Source organism: Homo sapiens, chromosome 11 (assembly GCF_000001405.40).
Source record: "Homo sapiens chromosome 11, GRCh38.p14 Primary Assembly".
In the NCBI taxonomy this organism is placed as follows: domain Eukaryota; kingdom Metazoa; phylum Chordata; class Mammalia; order Primates; family Hominidae; genus Homo; species Homo sapiens.
In genome coordinates, this window is record NC_000011.10 from 104,144,651 (window position 1) to 104,167,813 (window position 23,163).

The 23,163-nt window shown below is 37.0% G+C and overlaps 1 protein-coding gene across 2 annotated transcripts in view; it reads right to left on the reverse strand.

Annotated features, from left to right (window-relative positions):
• The window catches only part of PDGFD (platelet derived growth factor D), a 256,959-nt gene extending 237,462 nt beyond the window's left edge, over positions 1–19,497 (reverse strand). For both annotated transcript variants that reach the window (NM_033135.4, NM_025208.5), the window contains exon 1: positions 19,154–19,497. In NM_033135.4, the coding sequence (NP_149126.1) occupies positions 19,154–19,277 (124 nt within the window). In that variant the 5' untranslated portion in view covers positions 19,278–19,497. The remainder of the gene's footprint in view (positions 1–19,153) is intronic.
• Positions 19,498–23,163: the final 3,666 nt, after the last annotated feature.

Sequence of the window (23,163 nt, forward strand, 5' to 3'; positions counted from 1 at the left end):
CAATCTTACTGAAGCTGGCAATTGTCTTACCTAAAAATAGACAAAAGGTATCTGCAATACTTTGTAAAAAGCAGCAGATGATAGATCAGAAATTTTTATTTAAATCCTGACCCTGCCAGTGATCCACTGTATGACTTCAGGGAAGTTACTGCACCTTTCTCTGCCATGGTTTTGTCAACCATAAAGCAAGAAGATGGCCTAACCTACCTCTAAGAAGCCTTCCAGAGCTAAAATTTAGTGAAATCACTGTATTAACATATTGTAGACACAGGTGTTACTACTACTTGTAGTAAGATACAACTTTTACTATTTAAAGTATACTCTGAAAAAATGTGGAAAAGTGAAAATACCCTGCTTGCCTTACCATTTATTCAGTGCCATTTCCCTGATATTGTGCTAAATAACTATTTAATATTCACATTTACTTTATAATAAGTGGTGTTATTGTTATTGTTATTTAATCTCTGAGTACTGAGAGGGGTTGAGTAATCCCTACAAATACATAGCGAGCAAGTGGTAGGGGCTGGATTTCAGCTGAGGTCTTGTTACCCTTAATCATTATTCCATATGTCTCTCATCAGGCTAGATTTTCTTTTCAAATTAATGAATGTCATTAACCAGTGTTGGTATAAACCGAATGCTATGTTACGTCATGCAATACATGCATCTCTTTAATACATTATTTGTTTACTTACACACATTTGAAAGCCTATTATGTGACATAGTTGAAACAGTACTGGATTGATTATGCCAGTTAATGTAGGGTTTTAGATTTTTATTTAAGTTTAACACATGTAAATATGCATTTCTATAGCCAATTTCTGATGAACTGCAAGTCTTTAAGTATGTCTCATACTGATAAAATTTTGTAATCATTCTTGCATAAGTTACATCCATAATTTATCTATAATTTCCAATTTATCTTTCTTGAAAGTAGAGAAAACCTTAAAGATATATGTGAAGCAATTTATATAGGGAGCTCTTTAGGCCTTTTAGACTTATTTTATTTTCATTCTTTGTGAAATAGTTCAGTTTTCTCACTTATATCAAACTGTAATGAACTGAAGTGTATCTTCCCAAAATGTATCTGTTGAAGTCCTGACCCCCGAGTGTGCTTGTATTTAGAAATAGGGCCTTCAGAGAGATAATTAAGGCTAAATGAGATCACAGGGATAGGGCTCTAATAGTATAGGACACGTGTTCTTTTAAGAAGATGAAGATATACCAGAGATCTCTTTCCTTCCACATACGCAAGGAGGAAAGAACATGTGAAGACACAGTAAGATGGCGACCATCTATCAGCCAGGAAGAGAAGTCTCACCAGAAATCAAATTTGCCAACACCTTGAATTTGGACCTTCCAGCCTCCAGGACTATGAGAAATAAAGTCTGTTATTTAAGACATTCAGTCTGTGGCATTTTGGTATGGCAGCCCAAGCAAACTAATAAACTCCACAACTTTATTTTTGAGCACTCACCATTAAAGTTTCGACAAACACTGAATTAACTATTTACAGACACAACTCTCTTTTTTGTATTCATGTTTGGCTGTGTCACACAACATTTAATTAAATTATGTAATTACATTAACATGTAGGACTGGAAGACATACGTTTGGGAACAAATACAACACACCTTTGGAATATATATATCTCAATGGTGAGAAAAGAAGTGTGTTCCAGGGAAGTAACACAAAAGCAACACAATTGCCATGGACATCAGTCAGGATGTTTCATATTAGACTAGACAATGTGGTTAATCCTGCTCTTAGGGTACTGGAGCTCCCGCTGCACTAAATTTTTCATCTGATAGTTTCACTTGTTTCCACATTTCTTCAGAGCAAACCTCATATGTCAAGATAGGGATCTCAATTCCAGGGAATGATCCAGATTTTTGTAGTCTAACACTTGTATGATGTGGGATGCCCTCTTAAGATAAAGAACATCAAGTTATGCATATAAAATTAGGCAACAGGACCTTGAAAGGGGCCAATCAAGGGGATGGGCCTGAAGCGTAAGCCTCATTAGCATCAAAGTTAGTCCCCATCTGCTACCCAGACGTTTTCCTCCTGCTATGAGTTGGAGCTTCATCTGAATTGTACTTGGCTGGAGTTCATTCAATCATTCTGCAAATATTTACTGAGTACCTCTATATATCAGGTACTATTCCAGGAGCCAGAGGGGAATAAAAGAGACATAAAAAAGGATACAGTAGGGAATAAAACAGACAAAATCTTTATCCTTACAGAGCTTATATTCTTGAAGGAAGACAGAACATAAACAAATGAAAATAAATGATATAATTTCAGGTAGAAATAAGTGAGCTTGGTACACACCAGGCACCGGGGCATACTAAAAAAAAAAAAAAAAATAGTTGTTTTAAAAACCACTTCTTTGTTGAAAAATGAAAAGTGCCCTCTGAATAAAATGTTTTCAATAACACCAGAGTCACACTGTGACTTGACACATATAAGGTTGTTGAAGAGATTCTGATCTTGCGAAGTTGTTTCTTGCTTAGAACAAGCCTTTCCAATCTTGTGTGCTTGTTTTGAAAACTAAGTACACTGTGCTTGGTTTTTCACAGCATAAGATATCAAAATGGACAACTTAGGTCGAGTTCTCCACAAATAGAAGAAATAAATTTTGCAGCAATGAAAGTTTTACAGGGCATCATTATATATGAGCCTGTCATGGGAACACAATCCAATAAGGTATTTCCAAAGTCAGGTAAGGAAACATAGGATACCCTTACAAGCCATTTTACTTGATAGAATATATTTTCTTGATCAAATTATATGCAAATTAATGGTCATGTCAACAATGATCCACCAATAGCTTGGTAGAGATACTCATTTAACAAAAGTAAGAATGATTTATATTGCTGTAATATTTTTTATTAATCACATTTAAATTCTAGGCCACATAGTCAGTGGCAGGACTGAAATTTTTTAATGCAAAAGGAGTTTTCATAATATTTTATTGTCCTAAAAAGTCATGCTCCAAATATATGCTGTCCAATGGCTCCAAATCTAAGGCCACTAACTCCAAGGAGATATGGGTGACATAGTAAAAATCTGTATCAAATACAGATTATACAAAATAATACAAATACAAATTAGACAAAATACAGACCTGATACAAAATCTGTATCAAATACACATTACAAATACAAATAATAGGTTAAATCCTCCAAACATATGGCGGGGTTCTCTTATTCACAAATCTTTTAAAATCAGCCAGAAAGAGTAATTTTAAAAAATGGTGAAGTGATAAATGAGAATATTATCATTGCCTAATGCAAATTAACTCATAAATGAAAAGAAGTATCAATGCTGATTAAACACAGTTTTTCCCATTCATGGCAGAGAAATGAAGTGCCAGCTGCTGTTTTTATTAGAAACTTTTCAAACATCAGAAATTTTGCACCTGGCATAAAAACTGAGTAGCATGGTTTACTGTTAGTTTATTAGATGACTATAAGTTTTTTTAACAGAATACATGAAAATAACTAGCAACATCAACTGTACCAGTGTTGATATAATAATAAAATATAAAACACATAAAACTTGCCCATGCTGAGTTATTCAGCTCCTTAAAAAGTGACTCAGTCGATTTCAACACACTGAAACGATGAGATACAAAAACAGCTCTCATAAATTAATTTTTTATGTTGGAAATAGACCAATGATAATATGTGTTGTTCCAAATAAATGATCTTAACATCCTAGAGCTATACTGTCCAAATTGGCAACAATTAGCCACATGTGGCTATCAAAGCTTTGAAATGTGACTACTCTGAAATAGGATGTATTGTAAGTATAAAATTCATATAAGATTTTGAAGATTTAGTATTATAAAAATTTAAAAGAAATTGCAATAATTAAAAAAATGAAACATTGAAATATTTACATACATAATGAGTTAAATAAAATATATTATTACATTTTTAACTTTTATTTTAAGCTCAGGGGTACAAGTTCAGGTTTGTTACACAGGTAAACTTGTGTCATGGGGGTTTGTTGTACAGATTATTTCATTACCTACGTATTAAGCCTTGTACCCATTATTTATTTTTCCTGATCCTCTCCCTCCTCCCACCCTTCATCCTCTGAAAGGCCCCAGTGTGTGTTGTTCCCCAATACGTGTCCATGTGTTCTCATAACTTAGCTTACACTTATAAGTAAGAACATATTGTATTTGGTTTTCTGTTTCTGTTAGTTTGCTAAGGATAATGGCCTCCAGCTTTACCCACGTCTCTGCAAAGGACATGATCTTGTTTTTTTATGGCTCCATAGCATTCCATGGTGTATATGTACCAAAATAACTTCATGTATTTATTTTTACTTTTTTATGTGGTTACTAAAAATCTTTAAATAACATTGTCTTATATTACATGTCTTTTGGACAATGATGGTTTAAAGTGGCAAGAGTTTGGTTCAATTTCAGCTAAGAACCTTGGGCTCAGAAATTCACCTAGAATTCTCTGAGTCTGTCCTAAACTCCAAATTTCCAGCAATCTTAAAATTTGCAAATACCTCATCTAGGTACAGTAAGTTCTCACTTAATGTCATCTATAGGTTATTGGAAATTGCAACTTTAAGTGAAAGGATGTATAGAGAAACCAACTTTATTATAGGTTAGTTGGTATAAACAAGAATTAAATTCCTGTGGCGTAATTCTGGTCACAAAAACATCACCAAACTTCTAAATAAAGACCAAAACAGTTCTAATATTCAACACTGAAATAAATGTGAGCTATACATACATTCAAGAAGAAAATGAATAAAAACAAGTGAGATAATTATATACCCAAGTTCGGTGAATCAGTGAATGATGGCAGTGTTAGTAGTGGTAGGTTAAGTCAAGGAATAAATGTTTGCAAAGTGAACATTGGAAGGAGCAGCCCCTACCATCACACAGCTCAAACAAGAACAAATATGGCAGGCTCATGGAGTGCTTCCCTCCTGCTCCATTTGTTGTAGTGCACTTGTATGATTATTTTACACTTGATGAATTTGTATTTTACAATAATATGCATTCATTTATTCATCCCAATTTCAACCCGTTTATTCCAGTTCCAGGGTCTCAGGTGGCCATAGTATATTCCAGTAGCTCAGGGCACAAGGCAGGACCCAGCCGGAGTATCCAGAGAAAACCCATAAACTTCACACTGGACAGTGGCCCTGGCCGGAAATTGATTTTTTTTTTCTCATCAATGTTACAATGAAATGATGGTGAAAAAATGACTTTATTCTAGGACCTGCTGTATATATCTTCTGTTCCCATCACTTAATATATACTGTGGTCATTGTACTTACATATATCACATGACATCAACATACCTAATGTAATGCTGAGACTAGTAAGTGCTCTGTGAATGGCAGCTATCATCATGTAATTATCACATCACTTTCAACACTTTGACCTCAGAACCTTGTATAGGAGCAGATATGCAGCGGACTTGCAACAAATTTTTATGGAATTAAAAATGAAAAAACATATGAGCCAACAAATGAATAAATGACACATGAGGTTAATGAAAATTTTAAAGAATAATTTTATAATATAATGAAATAGGACACTGCCCTTATCATCCTCAATTTAATCTTATCTGAAAAGTCCATAAGATTTCAAGCCAAAAATCTCAATCTTTCGGACACGGAATTAGGGCAGAAGTGAGGCCAGTCTAAGAAATTCTCAGAAGCAGAGATTTAAATGCACCATTAAACTGTCAATATAGATTTACTGGCCAATGAACTTTATAATGGTTGGGAAACTGGGCTGAACAAACTATGCAGTTCAACTATTCCTTATTTATATCAAAGACCCTCTATTAGTTTCCTGTAGCGGCTGTAACAAATTGCACCAAATTTACAGGCTTAAAACAACACACATTATTATCTTACAGTTCTGGAGACTGGAAGTCTGAACTCAATTTCAATGGACCCAAATTAAGGTGTTGGCAGGGCCATACTCCCTCTGGAGGCTCCAGGGAAAAGCCCATACCTTTCCTCTTCCAGCTCCTGTTTGCTGCTGGCATTCCTTGGCTTGTGGATGCATTACTCAAATCTCTGCCTCTGTGGTCACATAGCCATCTCTTCTGCCTTTGTCAAATCTCCCTCGGCATCTCTCTTATAAGGACACTTGTGACTGCATTTAGGGCCTACCCAAATAATTCAGGAAAATCTCCCATCTCAAGATCCTTAAGTAAATCATATCTGCAAAGTCTCTTGCATATAAAGTAACATTTAAAGTTTCCAGAATTAGGACATGATACCATTGGGGTCATTATTCAGCCATAGGACAAACCCCAACACACGATTTTCTAATCTGAAGCATTAATTAAAAATGGTCATTTTATATAACATTTTGCAATTTTTATTAAAGTTGGATGAATACATCCCAATTTTTATATGTGCAGCAATGATGTAGCTGTTGCACACCCATCATTGATTACTGTTTACCACACTGATAGAAAGCTCGCTCTCTCTCTCTCTTCTCCTCTTACTCTCCCTTTCTTTTCTTTCTTTTTCTCTTTTCCTTCTTTCTTATCTTTAGGAATGTCCTGCAAGTCAGAGTGGCCAACTAACTGGTCCTGTATCCATATTTTGTTCAAAAAATTATTTTCAATCAATCAATATTTCTAAATTGGATTTTCATGAACTTTACACACGCATGCAAGCTGGATGCGTAAATAGTACAAAGTAGTAAAACAGTTATCTGAATTATTTCAACATATTTTAAGTATATTTAAAATTTATTGATATAATACAGAATAGAATTGTTGTATATTAATGATAGGTTCCCATTGTTCTTAGATTTTTCAAAAAATGTATGTGGAAAATATGAGACTTCGTTAGTTTAATTTACATTCCCAACAAAGAGAGAGGGAAAATAATACATCATGCTCAAAGTTGTCTTTGTTTACTGCCATCCAGTGGTCAAATAATTATTTCGCACATCACACATTAAAAAATTAAGGCATACTGGGTAACTGAGTCTACAAATTTGCTTTTATGTTCAGAAATACGTATCCTAAAATTCGAACACACAAAAGAAAACAATCAAGAAAGTAAGACTTCTGGTCCTAAAATTAAAAGTTGCTTTTCTGCTCAAGTTTTAATAACTTAATTATAAGGGGTTGGCCTTTCATTTTCAAATAATATTGTGCTCAACAGCAACTCGACCAATACAGATTTTTTTCTATTGAACCAAATATTAGGATAGATAATTTGTGGCTATAGTTTGATCATCAAGACGGAATCTCGAAGTTGAGAATCTTAAAAAAAAAAAATCCCAGGTCACATAACGGTGGCACTCACATGGCACTGCCTTGCCCTATGTTTATTCACATATGTGTTTTCTCTCTTCAGCCAAAGTTAAGTTTTAACAGAGCAGAGACTGTGCCTTAGGTTTGACTATTTCTGCTCCATGGTGCCTCATCCAGAGCACTGCATGTAGTCTCTGCTTAACAAGTGGTTATGTTTTTTGTAGTTGGGTTTGGTGAAAAGTAGTAAACTAAAGAATAAAAACTATAAGGCCACAGTGGTTCTTCCTGATGTATTTAAATAATCCCAACATATACTGTACTTAAATTCCAAGTTGCTCTCACTTCATTCTAGCTTGTTTTTTAATTAACAAATGTTTACAAATCCTTTAATTACATATTTAGAAACTTTGTTGATGAAATTTCTATTACAGCAAATGTACTTTTATATCCTGTTCAGTAGCAATTCTTATTTTATCATCAGTAAAATAACATGTAGTGTAAACATATTTCTCTATAAATTTATAAACCAAAGATGCATTAATTTTTTGTTAGTGTTCTATCATCTATCTTCTAGACTGACTCTTAAGACTTGTTTCCTCATCCTTAATTTATTTTTACCTCTTTTTTGAACCCTTTTATTAAGTAGCAGGAATTTTATGTAAATGTACTCAAATACTAATATTGGAAAGGTATGACAAAAAGGATTCATTCTAGTCAGTGTTATCTGGTTAGTGTTTTTTGTTTTTGTTTTTGGTTTGGCTTTTTTTAAAAGACAATTGAAAATTCTCCATATTTCACTGATAATTCTCCAAAATTAACCCAAAATATGCTATGTCCAAGGTGGCAGTCTAAAAGTATATGTAATTTGGGGTTTTCAACAAAGTCTTTTGGAAACATATAACCTATTCTTCACTCACACCACTGTTCATAATAGATATTAAAGCACTTAACCACGTTAAAAGCACTTAGGAAATATCAGACATTATCATGCACCCATAATCATAAATGTTAATTATTTTAAAAACTTTATAATATATAGTCATTTACTTCAAGTTCACTGTGCATGCATTTCAGGCAAATATGTTTCTATCTTACCTTCCTGCCTCTAGGTTTCTCCACATCAATGTTGCACAAGCTCCTAAAGCTTAAAGTGTTCACAAATTAAGTTTCTATCTTTATGACCTTCTCTTATCTGCTCTTCCTGTGTTACTTCCTATCTTGTTCAACAATACAGCAACCACCCACACAATTAAAGCAGAAACCTGACAGCCACTCCAGATTCTGAATTTAAACACTCTCTCTCTCTCATTTGCTTAAAATCTGACAGTGAGAGGGCTCATGTGGCCTAAAGATCTGTCATTAAAAAGGACACTCACTGGATGATTTACAGATTCATCAGACCTCATTGAGCTTCTCCAATGTGCCAGCCAATGAAATGGACAGTGAGGATGTTCAGCTGTATTAAATACAGTTAGTAAATCTATATCTGCAGATGTCAGATATGTAAATAAATGAGTAACATTGCAGGGCTTATGATAGAAATACAGGATAAATAAAGGAGTAGCAAAATTTAACTGAGGAGGGTTGGGAGTCAGGGAAGGCTACACAGAGTGGTGCAATTCCTCTATCTAAAATGTGATATAGGATCTTTACATTGACTCAACAGTTCATTCAAAAACAATTGTGATGTGTCTGGAAGAACAAAAACAAAAAGGATTAATATGATTAAGGAATTCACCATTGGATGAATAACCCAATATGTTACAAACTAATTACTTCACATGATTATTTACTGAGTTGGAGAGTTTAATTACCAGTGTGATTACTCATTGTATACCTCAAATAGCAAAATAAAAAGACAGGTAAGGCTCAGTAACAAGGTAGAAGCTAAAAATATATTTTTGGGGGTCATTTGCACACAAGTACCAATTGACACTAGATAAAGATCGATCCTCCAGAGAGAAGCAGTGAGAAAAGTGAGAAGAGAAATCTGAGGTCTGAACCCTAGAAAATGTGCCAGTATTTATAGGGCAGACAGGAAGACCCAGCCAAGGAGACAGTCGAGGAAACAATAAACAAAGGGTATCCAACAATATAAGGGAAACAAACCTATGTATGTGTTCAATGTCATATTTTATAGTGATAAATACCCCTTTATTTTAAAAATATGTTTTATCCTCAAAAATGTTATGTTAATAGTTGTATAAATTGATAGGGTACAATATGACACTGGTTTTATCTTTGAATGTTCTTTCTTTTCCTATTAACACCATCCCCCATTACATTCTAAAATTTTTCCTTCTTTCTTCATCATTCATCATGGTAACAGAGAAAGAGTAAAACACAAAACATGCTTTTTAAGGCTTTCTCTAATATTGCTTCTTCAAATAACCTAAAACGTGTCCTGCGTTAGTTTTGGCTTTATTTCTATCACCATTTGAAATTTGTCATTTAGGAGTAGTTAAGACAAACGATGGGCAGCGTCAAGGCAAAGGAAGAGAATTCTTCAAGAAGAGAAGGGCTAATCCCTGAAGAAACAATAAATCACAGTGACTTCACCCAGAGCGTTTCCGTGGAGCAGTGGGGATGATTTCAAATCACAATGGGTACAGGGGAGGAGAGGAGGAAGAGACATTGAGTTGTGATGGTAAAGTGAAGAGAAACAGTAAAACAACTTTTGCGTATTGTGGGACAGTGCAAAGAAACTAGAACATACCTGTTGGCTGAGGGAATGGAGCCAACAAGAAGGAAAAGTTTAAAGATAGAAGAGTAGTAAACGCTATGGAATTAGGTTAAAGGAATTATAAAAAGGTGGAATTGTGCAAAAAAGAGGTACCAAGAGCACAACATATTCAGACACAGACTGACCAGAACAGAGTCTAACTTTGCAGTTTCTATGGCTGCTTTTATGCTATAATGGTAGAGTTGAGTAGTTGTAACAGAGACCATATGGCCTGAAAAGTCTACAATATTTACTATTTGGCCCTTTACAAAAAAAGTCTGCCAACCTCTGCATCTGCTCCAAGCTATTAACTATTCTTTGCAGTGAAAATATGCAAGTTTGATAGATGTGTTTTCTATGTTTTCATCCAAGTTATTAAGGATTCTGAACCCAACAGAGTCTAATCCAAAGCGCCAATAAAATCCCTGTTCACCTCCCTCTTGACTAACACAAATCTATCAGTTATCAGTAGAAGAATGATAATAATACTTTATTGTCATCCAGGCTACAACCATTATTTTCTTCAAGGTTTCTGTAGTAAATGCTGTCAATTTCTGGTTGAAATACATACATACTTAAGGCAATACCATTTACAGTTTATGAACCTGGTAAACCTATCAGACATATAATCTGAACTTTCCTTTATGGCTCAAGGTCATTATTTTTAAAATCAATAACTTTACTGGGCTATAATATAGTTATTCCCCGGCAATATACGGAGACAGATTGGAGCTATTTTCACCTTATTTAATAAGAAGCCTCAGCCAGCTGGGCTTGCTTAGGTCTCATGAATGCTTTTCAAGACCTGGAAATATAAGAGGAGGCAGGAAAACTACTAGCTGTCATTTCTCAGTGCTAATAGTGTGAATAACTCAAACCAGTTCTCTTATCTATTCTAATACCCTACTCCTCTTCTGCTGTGGATATGAGAACCACATAAACCAGGGTGATGTAATTATATGGAAAGTAAAGACAAATGGGCTTTTAGTGTCTACCATACGATCCTTATGAACTCATTTACACATTCTGTGACACTGATTTTAGCTTTTAAGTGGATTTGTTGCATATTGGTTAGTTCATTTGGTTGCATTTTCCACAGCTGAGTCTGCTAAACAGCTACATTTTGTAAAAGCAGGTGGTTGCTACATTGCTTATTAAATGTTTCAATGAAATGCAGGACTTATCAGCATCTTCTCAGATTGGGTCTGAAAAGACTTTTTCAGAACCAACACAGCACATTCAACCCCTGCTTCACAGCTCACACCCAGCAACATCTCTGAGCTCTTCAGTCCAAAGAAGGCATGCTACATTTCAAATCTTAAATATTCAGGATCCTAATATATACAACATAGGGACTGCAGTTAATAACAATGTACTATATTCTTGAAAATTGCTAACAGTAGATTTTAAGAGTTATCATCACACAAAAAAGGTAAGTATGTGAGGTAATGCATGTTAATTAGTTTGATTTAGTCAACACTGTATACATATTTCAAAACATGTTGTACATGATATATATATACAATTTTTATTTGTCAATTAAAAATAAATTAATAATAAGATATGACCAGGCATGGTGGCATGTGCCTGCCGTCCCAGCTACTTGTGGAAGGGTGAGGTGGTGGGATTGCGTGAGCACAGGAGGTTGAAGCTGCAGTAAGCCTTGATTATGCCACTGAACTCCAGCTTGGGAGCTACAGCAAGACTCTGTCTCAAAAAATAGATAAAATAAAATAAAATAAAATTTTAAAAATGAATCCTAACATATAAGGCTTCAAATCGTGTTTGGCTTACTTTTATAGACAAAGCACTGCATCCAAAACTGTCTTCATGAACACACTCTACAAAAAAGTGCTCAAGGAAAAAATCTAAAATCTGAGAAAAGATGACTTCTCATAATGAAAGACAGCTCCCATGCCTGGGCTATGATGCTTCCACAGACCTCTCCACCTCCTAATTGTATAAAAACCACTAAACTGCACACCCCACAAATCAAAAAAACACACAGTATTAATCTGTCAATATTAAAGCTAATATAGAGATGTCAGCATACCAGAGGGAAGATGAAGGAAAAGACATATTATCATGTGCATTATCAACAGTTATAAGAAACAAAGCATGCTTTATTCTTGCTCTAGAAAAAAGGCTCATCAGAAGAAACTATTTCTTCCTGTATGTGTACTTGTGCCCTTTGCTGTCCTGTGGGCTTCCGCCTTTAGTTTTGATTTACATTTGGTTCTGAAATACTGTATGAGGAGGCAGAACATTTCTGCTGCACCTCTGGTCTTGGATTCTTTCCTTTTTGCTGTAATACTATATATTACCCCCTGTAGCTTTTTGCTGAAACCATCCCTCACATAGAAGTGTAAAAATGCTCCCTTTTAAATTGCATTAATTCTGAAATGTAGCTATTTGAAAAAACTTAAAGTGTTGTCAAACACTAGACAGGTTACCTGCATAATTCACATTACCTTATTGAGACCTCAGATACAGTTACAAAATAATATCTGCTGTGCTGAGCGCAGAGCGACAACCAGGGCGAGGGGGGTACCTCAGGGATATCATGAGGGCACCAAGGATTTGGGGATTTGGGTTTAAGAAAGTCATTCATGTCCCCCACTATCATATTAAAAATGAAATGATTCCATCTGTATTCATGTGCCACAGGCAGCAGGGATATAGGAAGACTGGCCCTGATCACAGCCTCGGCCTTGCGGACTATTCAGGAACACTCCACCCAGCAGTCAAACACAGAATGGGCCACGTCTCTGTCTAAATTACACCTTTCAATGGCTTACCACAGCTCTCAGCATAATGGCCAAGCTCCCTTAACATTACTCCCCATGCCTTTCACTGGTGGACACTTGTTTACCTATATTCACACCTGGAAATCTTGGCAAGTGCTGTTCTATCCCCCTTCTCCCTCTCACTGCACCCAATGTCTGAAATGACTTGTCCAGAATCAAGGCAGCACGGTCAACCCCTGCTCACAGCTTCCACCCAGTAATCATCCCTGAACTCCTTCAGTCCGGAGAAGGCATGCTGGATTTTAACATTTTAAAAATGAAGAATCCTAATATATACAATATGATTACTATAATAATCACAATGTATTGTCTTCTTGAAAATTGATAAGGAAGCAGACTTTAAGTGTTAAGTGTTATCATCACAAAAATATGATAAATATATGAGGTAATGCATATGGTCATTAGCTTGATTCAGTCATTGGATACTGCATAGATATTTCAAAACAACATGCTCTACAGGATAAATTTATACAATCTTTATTTGTCAGTTAAAACTAAATAATAAAATGACACTCTTTTTAAAGAGTCCTAACACATAAGGCTTCAAATCATGTTTGCCTTACATTTACAGGCAAAGCAGCACACACTTCAGCCTCAGTTCAGACACCACTTCCTCTAGGAAGCCTTTCCCAATTCCTCAAGTCTATATTAGGTGCTCTTTGTGTATTCCTATCTCTCAAGTGCATTTCCTCCATTAAAGCGCATATCACACTCTTTAGAACTTCACACTTAAATTGCAAAATACATTTTCTCAAGTAAAACTCTTATGATGAACACACATATGTGAAGAAGAAGTGTGATAATACATGTGGAGCTATTCTGTTGAAGAAGGGGTGGAGAAGCTGAAGCTACACGTGTTCAGCCTCCTTGGTAGCTGTGCACTGACCTCCAAGGCACTTCTGGAGAATCCTGGTACTCTCCAGAATGCATCTGAAAGATATGTACAATACAATGGAACTGACAATTGTTTGTCTATATTGTCCACTAGGCAATACATTCCAAGAGGTCAGGAACCATGTGTGTTTCATTCATATTGTGCCAGATGCTCAGTTACTTAGCACAATATACAGGAGGCATTAGGGATGTTAGAAATAATCACCGAAGGCCGGGCGCACTGGCTTACGCCTGTAATCCCAGCACTTTGGGAGACCGAGGCCAGCGGATCACGAGGTCAGGAGATCAAGACCATCCTGGCTAACACGGTGAAACCCCGTCTCTACTAAAAACACAAAAAAATTAACCGGTCATGGTGGCAGGCGCCTGTGGTCCCAGCTACTCAGGAGGCTCAGGAAGGAGAATGGCGTGAACCGGGAGGTGGAGCTTTCAGTTAGCCGAGATCTCGCCACAGCACTTCAGCCTTCATTGAATACATGAATAATAGTTATAGCAGGGGTTAGCAGTAGAAGTTATGATAAAGAACTATTTGGCAGGGCGCGGTGGCTCAAGCCTGTAATCCCAGCACTTTGGGAGACCGAGGCGGGTGGATCACGAGGTCAGGAGTTCAAGACCAGCCTTACCAAGATGGTGAAACCCCGTCTCCACTAAAATTACAAAAATTAGCCCGAGGCGGTGGTAGGCGCCTGTAGTCCCAGCTACTCGGGAGGCTGAGGCAGGAGAATCGCTTGAACCTGGGAGGCGGAGGTTGCAGTGAGCCGAGATCATGCCACTGCACGCTAGCCTGGGTGACAAGAGGCAGACTCCATCTCAAAAAAAAAAAAAAAAAAAAACTATTTGTCTGCTACCTTTCATCTTTAGAAGGCAGTTAAGATCAAGTAAAGAATGATCTGAAAAGAGAGAGCCTTGAAAGAGGCTAGGTAGCTCAGACACTAACTCACCTTCACTCTCAAGTCATCTTAATCCTTTTAGAAAGATCAATGTATTCCCTGAATGGCATGGCGCAGATGAGGTAGACACATTCTACACCTGGTTCATCCATCTAAAAGATTTTCCTATTTTAATAAAGGGAAGGATTTTATTAAGGTGTTCCAGAACTGCCTTTTTACACTAACCTGACTTCAACATAGAAAGTTCAAGAGTAATTTCCAGAAGGAAGATAATTTACATTATGACTCAGCTCTTAAGGACAGAGACAGAAATATGCATATCCTTCTAGACTCTTAGAGTGATAGGGCTGTGAGACCACATATGCTCAGAGTTCTGCGTGACATCAAGCTTATGCTTATTACTAGTTTATATTACTAGTAATAATAACTATGCTTATTATTAGAGATCAGTGACTCTGTGGGCTGGGCTCCATTGTTTGACTCTTTTGTTCTGAAACAATACAGTTTTGCTTTCATTCACTGAAAGGGAAAATCCTGTAGCAAAAATCACTGTCATTTAATAAACTCATTATGGTCATTAATGTCACTCACAACCTAGTAGCATCCTCCACTACATAGTACACAGACACCTGGCTAAACCCTGCTCTTTAAAAAAGTTTCTATAAAATGATATTATCCATGGTGGCAAGTCAATGCCAGGTTACATTTAAAATATGTAATCACCACTATGCTTTACAAGATTATAGACTTTAATATCCTTAGAGCTGAACAAAAAATACACAGAAGAGATTCTTTGCTTTCAGACTCTTTAAAAATAATTTATTGACATTGTTCTCTGTTGTGTTGCCTTCCCTTTAAGCTCTGATCTTTGTACTTAAGTCAGTGTGCTATCATCAACGATGACAATAGAAACCACATTAAGAAACAAGCTTCACTACTTTAAAATCTAAGGCAGCACAATTACTAGAACTGCAGGCCTATCACTAGATAATGATAATGTAACAGATGATTCAATACTATTATACTAACCAAAGAGAACTAATTTCAGAATTGTTTACCACCAACACCTGTACTTTCTACACGCAACAAAAGGTCAAGAAAATGAAATGAAGAATGCATCTGTATTCTAAAGCCCCTAGGCAGGAAGTTCCATCTAGTTAGATTTTAAAATAAGTAAGTAATATTGCAGTTAATTGCTACCTTTACACTTCTTAATCTGCACACTGAGCAACACTTAGTTTTGGCCAGTTATTATTACAAAAGCACCAACTGTGTAGGCACTAAAATTAGAATACATAGATGCTACTGCTAAATTAAGATTTTCTTTGTGACTAGAGGCAGAAATGGGTATCAAAAGTAAATCAGTTTGAGCGAGAATAATAAATACGATATAAGGAAATGTAAACATTCTATTAAGTACTGTAAATTATTATAGTTTAATCTTTCTTAGTTATAGAGCCTCATGTTCTCCTGGAGACGGGCAACAAATTCAACTACCCTCCTTCATTGGGCCACATTTAGCCATTCTACAGGTAGAAAGGCTCTGCAGATATACCTTCAGAACAAGAATACCCTATGATGGAGAGTTCCGGAAGGCCAGGACACAGCAGCAGATCAGCTTCTTATAATGGGTAGAAGCAGACTATCATTCGACAACCCTAACATTATGTATTTCCACATCATTTCTTAGCTACTCCAGGTATCTGGAGCTATTAGGCATAGTATATCAAGAAGTTGTGGGGTTTTACTGTATTAGGCTGGACAGGATAAAACACACCTCATGCCCTGAACAGGACACCCGGCTTTTTTGCTCCTTTCTTCATCCCAACATTAAGCAGCAACTAACAAGTCCAGCAGGAACAAATGAAAAGCCTTCAAGTATGTCTATCATCAGGTAATGGTTTCTAAAACTCCTATTCAAAGGTCACTTCTAATTTTTTGTTGTGATTTCCTATAATTTGCAATCTGAGAGCCAGGTCTTCTAAAGACCCTAAATTAATGTTTAGAAACTTTCATTTTCTATTTTTCTCCTGATTATATTCCATGTTCATGTCCTCCTCAAGCTTTTATCATGTCTTAATCTGATAGTCAAATGAGCAAGAATATTGTCGTCTTCAATGAGTCATTAGAAAAATTTGGGAGAGCAGGTTGACAATGTCTGGAATCAGAACAAGGTTTTAATTTAATAAGTTATACTTTCTCTCTGTCAGCTATGGCCATTAAGATTTCCCAAGTGTTGTCTAGAATTTTTCATAGCCCCATTATTCTTACTCTTTCACCAAAACTCTATGCCAATGTTTCTCAACCATTTTTTCACTATTGCTAACCTCCATCCCTTAAAGACTCTTTTTAGACTTCTTTTCTGATCACTCTCCCTCCTTGTGAATGGTAATACCACAGAAATGTATATCTATTTATATCTGCTAGCCCTTTGAAGGAACACAGACCGTTGCAATATCTAAGATTGTGTTCACCCTCTAAGATCTAATTGCACCCCATTGGGGACAATATTGCCCCACTTGAAGAATGCATGCTCATTTAGGAAAAAGCTGCCATTTGAAAATTTTCTAAACTAACAATCCATTATGAATATTAACATTTTTTACTCTATATAAAACAAATTTTAATGTGTAACTACGTTTTTCTCCTTCCTAGTCTTGCTTGTAAGATGACATTGACATTGAGGAAAGTATTGAGCAATCAGAACTAATCAAAGAGAGTGTGTGTGTGTGTGTGTGTGTGTGTGTGTACTGTTAAAGTAACTGCAAAACAGTTTTAACTGAAATATGAAGAAATGAGAAATCCAGGGTAGTTTTTAAAGCTTTCATGAAACATAGCATTTCCCATATAGACTGAACAGATGTATGGAGATGTATAGAGTTTTAACAATGGAAACTAAAATGAGATTATTCTCTTTCAAAAAAAAAAAAACCTGCTGAGCTACATAACTTGGTTTTAGTCAGAATCTTGGGTTAATGGGCAATGGTTACATGCTTTTCATTTTCTGTCCTTGACTTCTTGTAACTGATACTTGGGAGGGTGAGGATTACAAAATTATGGCTATGAAGTCATGCAAATTACAAGTGGAATTTTACTCTATGTAGCTAAAAGGACATATAAAGTGCAACTAATAACAAACCTACAAGATCTGTCCCTAGTGGAAACATTAAAGAGTAAAGACAAAAAACCACACAGTTTGGTGTTGGGCCTAATCCTTAAGTGTAGTAAAAAAATAAATAAATAAATAAATTACGTGCTTTTAACTAAGACAGAGAGTTACCAAAAATGCACGGCTGGAATCTTTTACATAAAAACGCTATGAAAAAGTAAGATGACTCTGTGGCTTCCCCTGCTACAAATCTACACCACTTCAGGTGACGAGTACACTGATATCCATAGTCTACTCATCATCAGATAACATAATGAAATTTTGGTTTCCCTGCAAAGTCCAAAAGTCATTTAGTAAATTCCAAATTAAGGACATACCAAGAAAGAAACTGATAAGATGGCTAATAGGAATTTACCAAGACAGTCAAATACTGTCAGCTGAAACTGTGAAGCCATCAACAATTGCTTGATGGTCTCCTTGGGAGATGTGTTAGTACTTTAAGCAAGCAGGAGAGAAAGATACTGATGTAGGAAAAAACAAGATCCAAAAGCCTATGGGTCAGTTCAGGTACATGGCAGAACAGCTAAAATTTGCTGGGAACATCAGCTACAGTTTTAGGTGGAGGCCCCAGAAAGTAAATAAACTCAGCTTAGGGTCTCTGGAACCAGTGACCCAGGTGTCCTCTAGAGTAAAGGAAAACAAACAAGCTGGCTTGGGACCTTGCTTAGGACAGCTGTTTCAGGAGCTGTGCTCCTTGTAGATAATTGGAAGCCGCTTCTGCAAGGAAACTAGCAGCAGAAGCCTGGTGCCCCTGTGGTACTGATGAAACCCCAGAAGCCTTGGTCTCCTACACTCTGAGCTTCTGAGTCAGGGTGAACTTCAATAGGAAAGTCACTTAGGGGACCTAAAGGGCAATAGGCTGCACACTGCCATTTCCCGAAAATAAATAGTAAATTGTCACTGTTCCAGATATAACTGCTAGATTGAAACGCACGATTTCTCCTCTCACTCGTAAAAATAAATAAATAAATAAATAAAATTTAAATAAACGTCTATCACCCAGGGAAAGCTACTCTTGACTCCTTCCACCTATCAAAATTGCCTAAGAAAGGTTGAGTCTGACCAAGGGGCGGCGCAGCTTGCAACTTTCGCCAACTCCGGGATGAGGCACCGCATCCTGGTACCAGAGGCTTGGACACCAAAATGACTTCTCTAGGGTGCAGCAAGGTGAGCCACCTGGCTTATCCTATCCCCATCAGCACGCGTCCCACACCTCTCAGTCCCATTCCGGAAATGGAGCTCTCTCAGGACTGGATACAGGCAGGAGACCTCCCTCCCCAAACAATGCATTCAGCCCGAGTTCACATTCAAGATTCAAAAAGAAAGGGGAAAAACATAGAAAGAACAATAACAATAGCAAACATGATTTTTTTTTCAGTTAAAAAATAAAATGAGTCTCTTACCATCTCGCCTGAGGTTGGCGTTGCGCAAAGCTTTGATGGATGCGCTCTGCGGGGTTGCAGAAGTGTCCCGACAGCTGCAAAAGTTTGCGCAGATTAGAGTGTAGACAAAGATGAGCCGGTGCATTTGGGATCAGCGACTAGAGACAGCGTCGCTCCAAGAAAAAGCCGGGTTCTGCTCCCGGGACCGACGCCGCGCCGCCCTGCGCTCTCGCCGCCTGCGCTCGCCCTGCGCTGGCCCGGGTCGCTGTGCTAATCGCCGAGCTCTCCCCAAACTTCCTGCATGCTGAACTTTCCGAGCGCGTGTGGGTGCCGCACTTCCTTGTGGTGCTGAGCTGATAAATGGTGACGGGACAAACAACAGGTTGACGTTTGTTTGTTCGCCCCCTCCGGTGGCCGGCAGCTGCAGCACAGGCTGCAGGGGGCGGGCAGCGCCGAATCTAGCGGGGCAGGCGAGCGGAGCAGCAGCGTTCTCCAGCCCCGGCCGCGGCCCCTGAGAGGCGCGCACTCGGGCTCAGAGCGGCGGCGCGAGCACCTCAGCTCCCCAGTTTCCCAGGCCGGGCCTAAACCTGCTCTGCCACTGAGCATGCCCAGTTTAATCGCCGGCCGGGACTCTTCCCACCGCCCTGGGCTTTACCCTCCTGGTTGGACCTGTAAGGGCTCAGGAAACAAACTCGCCAGGAGGAAGTGGGAGAGGGTAGAATCCCAGCACTTCTTCAGAGGTGACTGGCACATCCACCCACAAGCCACAGCTCTCCGCCTTGATGGTGGTGGGATGTGGGGACAGGGACTGGAGTTGGGAGTGTTTATTTTACAATAACCAAAATGAGACTCTACTTAGTTAAAATTTCACTGTTTATAGTGAAAAAATACAATCACAAAGGAGCTTAATTCCGAGCTTTTCTTTGAGCTCCCATCAGTGTGACCTTTGGGTGAGTCAAGGGTACCTTTTCAGGGAATAAAATAAAAATAAAAGTATATCACCCAGAGAAAGCTACTCTTGAGTCCCTCCATCTATCAAAAATGCCCGAGAAAAGGTCGAGACTGATGGAGGGATGGCGTAGCTTTCACTTTTCGCGAACTCCAGGATGAGTCAGGGCATCCTGGTACCAGAGAGTATTGGACACCAAAATGCCTTTTCTAGGGTGCAGCAAGATGAACCACCTATCACACAGGGCTGTAGACGTGATGGGCCATGTGGTGCAGTGTACAATAAGGGCAAGAAGTCTTCACGAGCGTTTTTATATGCACTAGCTCCAGCCCTTCCACAGGAAAGGGCAACAGGACAGAGTGGGGTTGAGCAGGAACAGACTGAGCAAGGGGAAGAAGTTGCAGAACACTGTGCTCACTTGCCTTCACAGTCCATAGGAAGAGGCATGGGTCGTTGAGGCTTTTGGGATTCTCCCTACTCTGCGTCTGGAAGCTCAGCAGTTGAAAGGGGCTGCCTCTGGTTTACATCGTGTGTCTGTCTGCCCATGGGAGGGGACTGTATTTGGAAAAGGAATGAGTCCAGACTCGCTGCTCACTGGCTTTGTCCCCTTGAGCAAATCATCTGATCTTTCGAAACTCAGTTTATTTATTTGCAAGAGTAGCAATTGTTAATTTGTATGGTTGTGGTGAGAATGATGTGAAAAAATGTTTAGCATATTGTTTTGTTTGTAGCTGAATCCAAATCCAAATTTATATGATTTCTCAATTTTCCGCTGATGAGATCTAGAAGAGAAAATTTTCAGTCTTTTTCAGGCCTTCCAGCTCCTGAAAGTCTGGCATATGGTAAGTGATATCCATACATAGGGAACTTTAAGTGGCTGAGAAGGGCAGGAAGTTCTGGAAAAGGTAGCCTTGTCAAGTTATTATACCATCCAACAAGGACGAGGGTTCATGTGTCCCTTCAACATAGTCAAAGATCAACATGTTTCATCTCTATTGGCTTTTTGGCTTAAAATGGTATTTTACAAAATTTAGGTTTGTGGGCCATGAAATCAACTTCAATACCAGAATAATTGTTTAAATAAATGGATTGGAATACAATAGTTTAGAAATTTAATTATCAGGGTTCATTGGAGATAATAATATTGTTTTATGAATATTTTGTTTCAGATACACGAACACTACAATATAATAGTTATTTCTTTGGGGCATGATCAAAAAAGTTTGAAAGCCCCTGGAAAAAAAGATCTAATTACATTGTTTCAGGATATAGTGAAACCCTGGGAGAGACACTAAGGATCATTTATTCATTCAACAGGTATTAATTAAGCATTAGTTTTTCCCCTTGTGTTATGCCCTGGTCTAAAAATCTTGGGGATTAAATTGTGAACAAGAAATAAAGTTCCTAATCTCTTTGAGTTTACATTATAATAGAGGAAAGGGAACATAAACAAGTAAGTATGTAACTGTGTTAATAAGTGAAAAGGGGTAGAGATAGATGGGATAGGAGTAGGGACTAATTGAAATATGTGATATCGTTTTTTAGAAGTGGTTGGAAATGCTCATTCAATTTCATACTTAGCTTCTGATATGAGACTATAGAAAAACGGAGAAAATTTGCAAATGACTTATAATTATGTAATTATGACATGTATCAAGATACTGACTTATTACAAGTATCAAAATGCTAAAATTGTGTCTTAATATCTTATATAAAATAATGAATTTTAAATATTCAATGTAGTGTTTTCCAAGATACTAATACTTTGAGCTCCCAAGGCATTGTGAATTCATAATTTCAAATATTTTAGGTAAGAATAGTAAGGGATATCACATATAATCAACATGTTCTTGATCTTTAATGTCAGTAAATATCCAAAATCAACAATAAAACACAAATTAGGCACCTGAACCCAACCAATTATTCTGGACCTGGTTTTAAAATATCTAATAATTAATTCTTACTAATTAGTTTGATCATATCAACTGAGGTATCATTGTACACAGAATATTATTTAATAAAAATATTCTTTTAGTGAGAAAGGTCTGGTACAAAGATAGAAGATTGTTTCAATTTATTTTTTACATGTATCTCAGACTCACCAAAATAGTGAATTTACCACTACATTTTGAATGCTTATAGGTCAGTTAGAAGAACATGAGCCAACAAAATGAAGTCAGATTTATAAATATTTATTACTATTCAGACTAACATAAGTCAATTATTCTATATTTAGCCATTGTTCAATGACATTCATATAACTAAAACAAAAGTAAATCTATTGCGTAGAAGAATTTTTAAAAACATGAGATCAACTTTTAATAGGTCCGTGTATAATGGCATTTATTTCGAACAAATATTCTGGTAATGAGGACTTGATAAAGAGTAGATTAGTATGTGACACTGTTTTTATCATGTGCTGTTTTCATTTCATTAATAGGACACAAGAGTAGTGTTTTCCATTACATTTTCAAATATCCTTGGCTTGTTTCACTACTCAATGAAAGCCCCAGTGGAAAAGAAATGAAATGTGGCATGATGTTTGTAGTCTTCTCATCTCTGCAAGTGGCTCACCCCAGTGCTATTTTTTTAACTAAACTTCTACCAGTCTTTAACTTGTAACTTTATTTTGACAATAGTAGTTATTTTTTGACGGCTACTCCATTCAAAAAGGACATTCCTCTGTTGTTCATCCTGCACTCACTAGATCTCAGAGAGAACAAAGCACTATGAAATGACATTCTAATTTTTGCTCTACCAGTAGACTGTTGAGCTTAGTAAATATTGAACTTTCATGGGACTTTAATACCTCCTTGTAAAATGGGAGTGTTATGCTAGATCACCTTCAATAATTCTTTCAGAATTCTGACTATTTTGTTTTATATAAATCTTGATTTCACTCATAATTTTTTACCATGTGATAAACGTGTAGCTTGTCATGCTCAAGTACATTTCAAATAGTTGTTAGAAAGTTTGGTTATATATGAGAATTAAATGTTTCTACAAATTTTAATAAGGTGATGTTTTGAAATGTTATTAACTAATATATACCTAAATGAAGCCAAAATGTTAGTTTTCCATC